Source organism: Homo sapiens, chromosome 6, assembly GCF_000001405.40.
Source record: "Homo sapiens chromosome 6, GRCh38.p14 Primary Assembly".
NCBI lineage: Eukaryota > Metazoa > Chordata > Mammalia > Primates > Hominidae > Homo > Homo sapiens.
Genome location: NC_000006.12, coordinates 17078778 through 17092115, shown reverse-complemented (window position 1 = coordinate 17092115; position 13338 = coordinate 17078778).

Below are 13338 nucleotides of genomic sequence, written 5' to 3'. Positions count from 1 at the left end.
GGTGCGATGGCGGCTCACTGCAAGCTCCGCCTTCCGGGTTCACGCCATTCTCCTGCCTCAGCCTCCCAAGTAGCTGGGACTACAGGCGCCCGCCACCACGCCCGGCTAATTTTTTTTGTATTTTTAGTAGAGATGGGGTTTCACCATGTTAGCCAGGATGGTCTCGATCTCCTGACCTCATGATCCACCCGCCTTGGCCTCCCAAAGTGCTGGGATTACAGGCCTGAGCTACTGCGCCCGGCCAGATCCTGCTAGTTCTTATTCCATTTGTAGAATTTCTCTGGCACTCAGCAGAGGATGATACCATATTGCATGACAAAATGCCTTCGTTTTTTCTTTTTTTCCAAATATAGTTTACTTTACAACCAGGTGGTGTTCTTAGTGATGGGGATGTTGCTCAGACATTGATGTAACTTCAGCAAACACTGCAGCAGGGAACATTCTTCTCCCCTGACAGGTTTTATAGCTAACAGCATCATCAGTCCTTTTTAGCGCAGTCTCTGAAAACTTAAAAGGAGTAATTGAAGAATTCTCCACAATGGGAGGGCCTAAAACTTTCCTGCTGAGTTTATTCTTGTTCCCCTTTAGAGTTAATCCCAACTGACTATTAATTAGACTGAATATTTACCAGATAAATGCAGAACGGACAACAGTGATAGATATTTGCAGTGATCTTAGCAAGGATGTTCGCCTAGCAGGGAGAATCTTAATTTCAAAGGATTCTACATAATGTAGTAAGATTGTACTTTCAATGGCTCAGAGCAGATGTGGTATCACCTCAAACCACTAGAGGGAAAAATTCAGCTTGTTATCTTCTTAGACTTTTGGCTTGCTTTGAGTTAAAGTCACCAATAATTTTAGAATTCTTTTATTTCTCATTCTGTTAGGAAAACAAGTTTAAAAATATTTATAAATTCCTGCAAGAGAAAAATAGATGCATCTGACCTGTTCCCTTTTCTCAGTCTATTATGTAAAAAAAAAACCGGGAGTAAAACAGAAAAACTATCTCAATTGTATGATTATCATATATCTAGACAGCTTCTAGAAATTCAATAGAATGATGACTCTCACCTTCTGCCCTTTCTTCTGATGCAACATGGTTCAGATAGACTTCTGCTTCCAGTCAAGATAGAGTAACAAACACTAGATTTACCCTCTCAAGGAAAAAAAATTAATAAAAAATCCAAAATATATAAAACAATGGTTGTCAAGACATTGGACATCAGGCGATGAAGGACAGTGATCCTTGAGAGATGGAAAGCTGAGAGGGTGAGCTCTATGATTAATCCCAGCTAACTACCTTGAAGACGTTTATAGATGGTAGTGCAGGGAGAGGAAACCCCAGCGGAGCCCTGTGGATTGCCTGAATTGAGGAGAAGGAGCTGAGAATCAAGGAAGGAAAAAGTGGCTAGAGTTTGCACGGCAAAGTAGCTGATAGGAGATAGAGGGAGAATTCCGGAGAGCTGCAGAGGATCCCCTTGAATATTCCATAGAGGACTGGTCAATACATGCATATGAGAAAGCTGCCTGAGGTTGGGGAAATAACTACAGAAAGGCCTAGAGGCTATAATAATCAGAGCTCTCACAGTGCTTGTTCTTACCAACCAGACCAGAAAACTCACGAGGGTTTGGCCTTGCTAGTGGGGAAAAATTAGCCCTACACTAAACATTGCTATGGTCCCACCTAACACATTGCAAAAGCAAGGACTGAACTAATGGAACTGCCTCTCAAAACAACGTTCAGGAATATTTATAGGAACACAAAACTATGTGGCACCCATAAGGTAAAACTGATAATGTCGGACATCTAATACAAAACTTAGCAGGCATGCAAAGAAGCAGGAAAATGTGACCCACAATTAGGAGAAAAATAAACTGATCAAAATCGACCCAGAGCTGATGTTCAAATTAGCAGATGAGGGCATTAAAACTTATTATTACTGTATTCCATATGTTCAAAGAGCTACAGGAAATATTAAATACAATGTATTTAAATAAATACACTGAGTAGAATTAATGATCAGTTAGACTTTGCGTAAGAAAAGATTAATGAACTTGAAGGCATAGCAAGAGAAACTATCCGAAATCAAACCTACAGAGAAAAAAGACTAAGAACAAAAATGAACACAGTGAAAGTGAACTGAAGAAAAACGTCACACAACTGAATATACATGTAATTGGAGTCCCCAAAGGAGAGAAGATAAGGTGGGGGCAAGGGCAGGAGGTGGGAACAGAAAAAATTTTGAAAAAATAATGGGCATCAAATTCCAAATTTGATGAAAATGATAAAATCACAAATCCAAGATACCCAAGGAACCCTTGGCACAAGAAACATTAAAAAAAAAAAACTATATCAAGGAACATCTTTATCAAATTTCTCAAAACCAGTGATAAAAAGAAAAATCTTAAAAGCAGACAGAGAAATAAAACATGCTATGTGCCAAGGTACTTTAAAGTACTAAGCATTGTAAAATATTGAAAGAAAAATGTGGCAACCTATACTTTTATACCCTGTGAAGATATCTCTTCAAAACAAAGGCTAAATGAATACGTTTTTAGGCATACAAAAACTGAAAGAACTCATCACCAGCAGACCCATATATAAGAAATGTTAAGTCCTTCAAGTGGAAGGAAAATGATACCAAATGGAACTATGGATTTATACAAAGGAATGAAAAACACTGGAAATGGTAACTACATGTGTAAATATGAGTTTTTCTTATTTCTTAGTTTTCTTTAAAGAGAATTCATTGTTTAAAGATCAATAATAACAATACAGTGTGGAGTTCATGGCATATGTGAATGTACAATATGTGATGACGATGACAGAACAGAGACCAGGAAGGGAGAAATGGAAACATACTGGAAGTATAATGTAAAAACCAGTAACGTGATCTCTGGATGAGCTCCCAACTATTTGGAAACTAAAAATATTCTATAAATAACCCACAAGTCAAAGAAGCAATCAAATACTGGGATAAGAGTCTTGACATCTGGGCTCTTTTCCTAGTTCTTTGTGAAATTAAACACCAGTGAATACCATGTTAATATTTTTCGAGGTATTGGAGTGTATTCGTTTTCTATACCTGCATAACAAATTTCCACAAATTCAGTGGCTTAAAACCACACATATTTATTTTCTCACAGTTTCATGGTCAGGAGTCCAGGCATGACTTCGTTGGGTCTTCTGCTCAGGGCCTCATGAGCTGCAATCAAGATGTTGGCTGGGGTCTCATCTGGGACTTGAGATCCTTTTCCAAGCTCATGTGATTATGGGCAGAATTCATTTCCTTGCAGCTGTGGAACTCACAGCAACTTGCTTCTTCAAGGCCAGCAAGAGAGAGCTCTGCTTCTCCTGTCTCCAACCTCTAGAGCCTCCTTTAAAGGGCTCAGGCCGGGTGCAGTGGCTCACACCTGTAATCTTAGCACTTTGGGAGGCTGAGGCGGGCAGACTGCCTGAGCTCAGGAGTTTGAGACCAGCCTGGGCAAGATGTTGAAACTCTGTCTCTACTAAAATACAAAAAATTAGCTGGGCGTGGTGGTGCGTGCCTGTAGTCCCAGCTACTACAGGAGGCTGGGGAGGCTGAGGCAAGATAATTGTTTGAACCCGGAGAGTGGAGGCTGCAGTGAGCCGAGATCACACCACTGCACTCTAGCTTGGGCAACAGAGCTAGACTCTGTCTCAAAATAAATAAATAAATAAATAAATAAATAAATAAATAAATAAATAAATAAATAAAATAAAAATTAAGGGCTCACCTGATTTGGTCAGGCCCACCCAGGATAATATCTCCTTCAATGAACTCAAAAATCAACTGATGTGAAACCCTAATTATATCTGCAGAATGCCTTCCCCTTTACCATACAGTGTAACCTGTTCATGAGTGTGACATTCCATCATAATCACAGGCTCTACCCACATCCAAAGAAAAGGGATTATTCAGGGTCATATACCAGGGGCCTGGAATTTTAGGGTCCATTTGAGAATTCCACCTGCCACAGAGAGACAGAAAAAGAGGGCAGGGGAAGGATATCATTTGTCAGTTGTTACTCACAATGTCTTCTAAGTAACTAAATATTGTTCTCCAATGCAAACAATGAGCTTTGACTGGCTTTTTGTTATTTTCTTCCTTGAGATCAACCATAAGGTCTTGAATAACTATAAGAATAATTACGGTAATGATGACAGCTACTGCCTCTTGAATGGTTAATACGTGCCTGGCATAAGTTCTTTACAACAAACATATAAGGTAGGTATTATTATACCCATTTTATGGATATAAAGGGAAGATCCCGAGGCTCAGAAATCCTTGAATAACTTGCCTTACACAGCTAGTAACAAAGGGATCAAGAATCAGAGCCAGTTGCTGTCTGATTCTTAATTCAGTGCTAGAGAGAAAAAAATGGGAATGCAGGCAGCAAGGAACCCTGGGTTCCACGCCAAGTTCTGCTTTGTGAACGACCATTTAACTGAATTGCTTTCATTATGGATAAAAGCAACTACCTCTGGCTTTTTGGAAATGCTTCTCTCTGTTGGAAAGAACATATAGCAAAAACTGCTATATATATATATTTTCAACTTGGCCAAAGCATTTTCTATCGATTAGACACAAAATTCCCCATATCCACCTTCTCCTATTTCATCTTAAAGGCTAGAACCAGGCTGTACAATTTTGAGTGGCTGAATTGTGTCTTGTGGGTAAGTTTCTGATTTGAAGAGTGAGTATGCATTTGGAAACATGAAACCGAAGTGCACAGGTGACACTTCCTAAGAGTGCACAGTAATTATCATAGGTAACTTCACCTGGCTGATGACTGGCAGTGCTTCTGTGATTTCATACATTTGAAACTTTTTTGCTGCCTGAAAGCCTAAGGCCATGGAAATGCTGCCTATCAGGTTGAACTACAGGTGTTCTCAAAACTGGGGATCGCCAACTGTTGTTCTTGGAGACCACATGGCTTCATGACTCTAGCTGTTTGCCAGACTGAATGATGCCTAAGAAGAGACAGAAAAGTCTAGGGGAAGGGGAGTAAAGGGTTGGAGTGGGTCACCCTAAAGACAAAGGTGTGGGTGGGGTTGACATAGAGACTTTCATTAAAAAAAATGCTCTCATGCCCTTTTTGTCTCTAGTTTTTGGTTTTTTTCTTATTCTTCTTGAAATAGAGCCTCACTCTGTCACCCAGGTTGGAGTACAGTGGCATGATCTTGGCTCACTGCAATCTCCCCCTCCCGGTTCAAGCGATTCCCTTGCCTCAGGCTCCTAAGTAACCAGGATTACAGGTGTGCGCCCCGGCTAATTGTTGCATTTTGAGTAGAGACAGGGTTTCACCATGTTGGCCAGGTTGGTCTCGAACTCCTGACCTCAAGTGATTCACCCACCTTGGCCTTCCAAAGTGTTGGGATTACAGGCGTGAGCCACCGCGCCCGGATTGTCTCTAGGTTTGTTTGGAGAGAAGCAAGTACCACAATCCTCCGGGAACATCCCGGCTGCTGTTTGAAGAGCAATAGCTCCCAGTCGGTCAGGGCTAAGTAATTAGCATAGCCACCAGGGGGCAATAATACCACAGCGATGATGAAATAGTAATAAGCTTGACTTTATTGTGTCCAAATCACCTACAAGAATAATCTTAGGTGAATGGATTTTGTGCTACTAATAGACTACTATACAATTAAGTACTAATACACTAATTACATTTCCGATTTAAAGTAACAATAATAATCAGTGTACACAGCCTGTACAGTCAGGCAGTCTTCTGTGGGGAAAATTTATCTGCTTCTGCTGTCTGCTCCCTTATAAAGAAATCCTAGCCCCAAAAGGGAGTGTAGTGGGAATTATGGGGCAGGGGATGTAAACAGGAGCAGGGAAAGGGGAAGCTTCCGGATAAGGAAGATGAAGCCCAGGCAGGGGGCAGTGGCTCACTCCTGTAATCCCAGCACTTTAATTGGGAGGCTGAGGCGGGTGGATCACCTGAGGTCAGGAGTTCAAGACTACCCTGGCCAACATGGTGAAACTCCGTCTCTACAAAAACACAAAAATTAGCAGGGTGTGGTGGTGCGTGCCTGTAATCCCAGCTACTTGGGAGGCTGAGGCAGGAGAGTGGCTTGAACCCAGAAGGCAGAGGCTGCAGTGAACTGACATCTCGCCACTGCACTCCAGCCTGGGTGACAAAGCAAGACTCTGTCTCAGAAAAAAAAAAAAAGGAAGATGAAGTCATGAGGAGTGAATTCCCCAGCATCATCTTCCTGGAAACAGGAATGCAGCCCCAAGACTCTGAGTCTCAGCTGCTAGGAACTCTGCGAGATTATGAGTCTTCTCAGTGAAGAGAGGGGCATTGCCTTCTCCATGTGCCCTCGGTGTTTAACAGGGCTTATTGGGTTCCCAACATGAGTAGGCACTGTTCTAGGCCCAGGGTGTATGGGAGAAATAATAATAATAATGCAGACATGGTTCTTGCCCCCAGGAAGTCAGGATCTAGTGGGGATACAGAAAATAAGTTAATTTTCAGACAAACATCTAATCACAAATCATATTAGATGATATAAAGGAAAGTCAAGTTACTACGAGATCATATAACAGAGGGGAGGACACTTAACCTGAAGCTTGAGGGAAGAGAGACACAAACAAACAAAAAAACAAATGGGGAAAGAGTGTTGTAAGTTGACCTTAAGGTATACTGGATTATATATAAAGAGGCTGGTGTCATTTGATGTAAGGTATCCTCTAGCCCACATAAAGGATTTGGGATTTTTATCCTAACTGCAATAATAAGTTTTGAAGGGTTTTATATGGATGATTGACATGGATCCAATTATATTTTTGTGAGATCATTCTGGCTTTCATCTGGGAAAAAAATTGGAGGCAACAAGAGTTAAAGCAGGGGGAATGATTAGGAGTCATTGGGTGATAATGAATGCTTGGTAGTGAGCATAGAGAGAGGTGTACAGATTTCAGATGCCTTTTAGTGAGACTCAGTAAGACTCGCTATTGTGCTGGATGTTGAGGGAGATGTCAAGGAAGACCTCAGCAGATATTTGGTATATGTCAGGGTGGATGTGGGTGACATTTATGGAATTGGGAAAGGCAGATCAAGGGTTCAGTTTTAGGCATAATAATTTTGGATGCCAAGAGACATCCATAAGGGGTTACAAGGCTGGAGCTCAGGAGGAAGGTATAGGCTAGAGATTCAATGTTAAGGATCATCAGCACAAAGCCCTTAGAATGGACGAGATTGCCTGGAAAAACAGCATAGAAAGAGAAGAAGAGAGGGCCAGCTACTCGGGAGACTGAGGCAGGAGAACTGCTTGAACCTGGGAGGTCAAGAAGGGAACAGAGACATGCAAAGGTGAAGGAGCTGCCTGATGTGTAAAAGAAAAACTAGGAGAATGTGGTTTCATGGAAGCCAAGAACAGATCTTTCACAAAGGAGGAGTCGTCGTCTGTGTCAAAAGTTGCTGAGTGATTATCTAAGATAAGGCCTGGAAAGGAGAATTGAATAAAGCAATGTAGAAGCCATTGGTTACCTTCCCAAGAGCACTTTCAGTTATGTGGTGGAAGTGGGAGCCAGATGAGAGGGTTCGAAGAGGAAATAGGCACACAGTACTCAAAAATAAATCACAGGTGGATTCAGGACTTATTTACAAATAAATGGAAGAATGTTTTCATGATTTTAGAGTAAGAAACAACTTCTGAATACATAAGAAAAGGACAAATCATAAAGCTAAGACTGATGAATTTGCCTACTTTTATATTAAGAATTTTGGTTTCTATTCAGTAGCACAATAGGGTGACTATAGTTAACAATAATTTGGCTGGGTGTGGTGACTCATGTGTAATCTCAGCACTTTGGGAGGCCGAGGTGGGCAGATCACTTGAGGTCAGGAGTTCGAGACGAGCCTGGCCCACCTGGGGAAACCTCATCTCTACAAAAACTGCAAAAATTACCTGGGCATGGTGGCATGCACCTGTAGTCCCAGCTACTTGGGAGACTGAGGCAGGAGGATCACTTGAGCCCAGGAGGTGGTGGTTGCAGTGAGCTGAGATCATGCTACTGCACTCCAGCCTGGATGACAGAGTGAGACCCTGTCTCAAAATAATAATAATAATAATAACTTCTCTATATTTAAAAATAACTAAAAGAGTAAAATTGGAATATTCCTAACACAAAGAAATGAAAAATGTTTGAGGAGATAGATACCCCAATTACTTCGATTTGATCCTTACATGTCGTACGCCTGCATCAAAATATCACATGTACCCCATAAATATATACAACTATTATGTACCCATAGTAATTAAAACTTTAAAAATAAAATTTTAAAGAAAGAATTTCTTTTTTATAAAGAAAGTGAAACACACAAGTTGATAATATGTATATTGGTGATCCTGCTATTCTACATCTCAGGATGGAAAGAAAATCTTGCCTGTATTCCTTGGAGACATGTATAAGGACGTTCATAGTAAATTGCTTAGAATGGCAAAAATGTAGAAAGAGTTCAAGTGACCAATCTCGAGAATTGATATGTAAATTGTGGTATAATTATTGAACCAAATGTTACGCAACAACACAACATGTAATTAAAGTAAATGAACCACATGGCTGCCTCTTACACATATAACATTGAACAAAAAATTCAATGTGCAGAAGATTACATGCTGTGTGTTCAGTTCCATAGAGTCCAAGAATATTATTTTAAAATATGACCATAAATATCCAAAGAGAAAGCTAAAAAAATGGAAAGTATTTGCCCTTGGTCAGCAGACTTGGACTTAGAGAGTAAGTAAGGGGACTATATTTTCAATAAATACTTTGTAGTAATATTTGAATTTTAAAAAATATATACATGGATTTTTAAAATACAAATGTGTGTATATATATGTATATATATATGTGTGTATATATATGTATATATATATGTGTGTGTGTGTGTATATATATATTTTGATTGTTTGTTTGAGGCAGGGTCTCACTGTTGCCCAGACTGGAGTGCAGTGGTACCATCACAGCTCACTGCAGACTCAAACTCCTGGGCTCAAGTTATCCTGCCTCAGACTTCCTTGTAGCTGGGATTATTGGTATGTACCACCACACTCGGCTAATTGTTAATGTTTTTGTAGAGATGGGGTCTTACTCTGTTGCCCAGGCTGGTCTTGAACTCAGCCTCAAGTGATCCTCCTCCTCAGCCTCCCGAAGTGTTGGGATTACAGGCGTGAGCCACTGTGCTTGGCCAGAAATAATTTTAAAAGTGAAGGGAGGTGAGGAAATGGAGGCTACATGAGGGACAGCTCTGAACAACTTTTAAAAATTTTAGATGACAATAATGAATTTTAAACATTTTTATTTAGAAACCAAGAATACATATAAAAGGGATTCAACCACAAAGGTCAAATAGATTTTTACAGTAAATCAGAATATTTTCAACGGGGGATGTTCTGATGACAAGATGTGGTTCCAGGATCTCCCCCAAATTCCTGGGCAAGCAACCTGTTTGCTCCTTTTTGCAGAGAGGGATACCCATGTGACAAAGTTTGGGAACTAATGACTTAGGCTATGGTGGGTGTGAGACTCACAAAGAAACCAAGCAGAGAATAGGAACCACATTTTTGGACTCCAAAGCATGTGATTTTTCTACCTTCCCACATAACATCTAACTCTTAAAGATTGCTCATTTCTGTGTTAGAATGTTCTATTAAAGCTACACTGTAAATGGTGTATACAATAATCAGGTATTTATTTTATCTAACAGACAATGGTGAATATGGCTCCGGAATTCTGACTATAAATAGAATCTTATTAAAGCCCGTGGCAATCTCTGCTCACCATTTGGCTGGTGGACTACTCCACTATTTTAGTCCTTTCTTTTGGTAAAATGCAGAGCTGTATAAATTGGACTGAAAATTGTACTAATTCTGGATTCTGTTTAGGGAAATACATTTGCATCTATATCATCCTTTCTGTTTGACAGATGAGTAAAAGGAGTCACAGAGGTGTTGCTTGCTCGAGATCCTAAAACTCACAAGCAGAAGCTGCTAGTTTCCTATTCTGTCAGAGTAAATGGTGCTACTATTTTTGGTTCAGTGTTCTTTTCCATTTCTGGTTATCGTGATCAGAGAGAGACAAATTCTACTTTGTTTCTAAGATACTCTCTGATCTCTTTCAGGCAACTCGCAAGCCACATATTGTCACAGGAACTCCCACATAGTAGGTTCCTTTGGTGGTGGTGACAGGTGGGGGGATTATATGATAAGGCCCCATGTAACAAAATAAATATAAAATATTACTCCAGACTCTGTGTGAGAAAATACAATGAAATCTGTGGACTTAACCCTTCTTTAATAACTTGTCAAAATCTGTTATCTCCTCAATGCTCTGCCCTTTGAAAAGAACCAGAGGGGAACGAATCTCATGGTAATGAGTAACATTCATTGAAAAAGCATTTAAAGGGTGTTTAAAGGGATAAAGATTATCTGAAGCATTTAGAAAAAACTAAAAATTCCATCTATATGCTAAAAAGGGTAATATGAAAATAGAGTCTAATAACAAAGTAGTAATCAGATTAGGGAGGAATTTGCCATTGACAGGAAATAAGAGACTTGGAGCTGGTGCTATTGCCATCCTAGGAAGGGGTTGGGTTTCACGGGTACAAAGGAGGTGCACGAAACCCCTGCAGTGACTCAGAAGACAAAAAGCAATTTGGGAGACAGTTATAGATAGATCCAGAGTTTTACATTGTATTTTTCAACTGAAGGGGAGTATTTTATAATGCAGGGAATATGCGTAGAATGTTACCAATTTACTCTTCTCCGCATCACCTACCACTGATCTGTTACTAACTATCCCTAAGTGCGAATAAAAGAAAATGAGCAATAAACAGGATCTTCAGAATAGGATCTATCTTCACTTTATAAGTGCTTGAATTCAGCATGCTCTTTTATGCATCCCCATCTTCATCCAGCCATCTCCTCTGCCGCCAACATCCATCCTTTATCCTTCTCCAACTGGCCGACTCTTATTTGTCTTGCAAAAGTCAGCCATGACACTTTCTCCCTGAAACTTTCTTGAATAGTCAGGCTTTTCCTGTCAGTGCTTTTTTTTTTTTGGCACCTTTTGTCCTATTTTCAGGGTCACTGTATTGCCATTGATCATGTAAGTGTCTGAGTGTTCCCTAGACTGTGAACCCCTTGAGGGCAGGGGCTGTTCTTCATCTATTTTCCCAGAGCCTCCACCCAAACATGTTTCAATATTAATATCTGCCAGTGGAGTCAACAGTGTCTGGAAGAGGAAGACTCAGGACATGCCTCTGTGAATGTGCCAAGGATTTACAAACACACCCTGGTCAACCTCATCATGAAAATTTAAGTAAGCAAAAGATTTCCCAGCTTGTGCTGGTACCTTACCAATTTTGAGAACACCCTCATTGTGGTTCATTGCATTTCAGCATAGACAAAAGACCTTAGAAACTGGGATAATTTGTTGCCAGGAAATTTTATTTCAATGAAAAGAAATGAGTCCAGAGTCGCTAAGGTACTGCCCTGCATTGCAACCCTTCCTACGCTGTTACCCCACTTTGCATCCATCCTTGCTGCTCCACTTCCTCATCTCTCCTCACACCATTGTTATCCTTTCTTCTGTTGTTCAACTCTCTCCAGCCATGGCCTCCACAGTAGGCTCTGGAATCACTGTTGGGGTCTCTAGATAGTCAAGGTGGCTTCCTTACCCTTGCTGATACTCCAGTGAAATTGTCGTCTGTGGACACCTCCTGCACAGCACCTTTTGCAACATTTCTATCTGGGAGAGACTTTTGCTGTCTCTTCCTTTGATTGGCGATGCCAAGCAGTTGCACAGTATCCCAGTGGTGCACTGGGGGATTGTATTATAGCTTGGAGGTTAAGTGTAAGGTCTCCAGTTAGACTGTCTTTATTTAAATCTACTACTTCCATTCACTAGCTGTGATACCTTGGATAAGCTAATTGTCTTAGATAGAGTTGCTATCTAAGTGGCTTGAACTTAGCTGCTACCTAAGTGGGTGGCTTGAACAATAGATATTTATTTAGCACAGTTCTGGCGTCTGGAAGTCCAATATCAAGGTGCCAGTTGATTTAGTTCCTGGTGCGAGATCTCTTTCTGGCTTGTGGACAGCTGTCCTGTCAATGTATCCTCACATGGCAGAGAGAGATCATCTGTCTTGTGTCTCTTTTTCTTCTTTTTTTTTAAGTTATACTTTAAGTTCTGGGATACATGTGCAGAACATGCAGGTTTGTTACATAGGTATGCATGTGCCATGGTGGTTTGCTGCACCCATCAACCCGTCATCTACATTAGGTATTTCTCCTAATGCTATCCCTCCCCTTGCCCCCCCACCCCTCAACAGGCCCCAGTGTGTGACGTTCCCCTCCCTGTGTCCACATGTTCTTGTTGTTCAACTCCCCCTTATGAGGGAGAACATGCGGTGTTTGGTTTTCTGTTCTTGTGTTAGTTTGCTGAGAATGATGGTTTCCAGCCTCATCCATGTCGCTGCAAAGGACATGAACTCATTATTTTTTATGGCTGCATAGTTTTCCATGGTGTATATGTGCCACATTTTCTTTATCCAGTCTATCACTAATGGGCATTTGGGTTGGTTCCAAGTCTTTGCTATTGTGAATAGTACTGCAATAAACATAACGTGTGCATGTGTCTTTATAGTAGAATGATTTATAATCCTTTGGGTATATACCCAGTACTGGGATTGCTGGGTCAAATGGTATTTCTGGTTCTAGATCCTTGAGGAATCGCCACACTGTCTTCCACAATGGTTGAACTAATTTACACTCCCACCAACAGTGTAAAAGTGTTCCTATTTCTCTACATCCTCTCCAGCATCTGTTGTTTCCTGACTTTTTAATGATCACCATTCTAACTGGCATGAAATGGTATCTCATTGTCGTTCTGATCTGCATTTCTCTAATGACCAGTGACGATGAGCTCTTTTTCGTATGTTTGTTGGTTGCATAAATGTCTTCTTTTGAGAAGTGTCTCTTCATATCCTTCACCCACTTTTTGATGGGGTTGTTTGTTTTTTGCTTGTAAATTTGTTTAAGTTCCTTGTAGATTCAGGATATTAGACTTTTGTCAGATGGATAGATTGCAAAAATTTTCTCCCATTCTGTAGGTTGCCTGTTCACTCTGACGATAGTCTCTTTTGCTGTGCAGAAGCTCTTTAGTTTAATTAGATCCCATTTGTCAATTTTGGCTTTTGCTGCAATTGCTTTTGGTGTTTTAGTCATGAAGTCTTTGGCCATGCCTATTTCCTGAATGGTATTGCCTAGGTTTTCTTCTAGGGTTTTTATGGTTTTAGGTC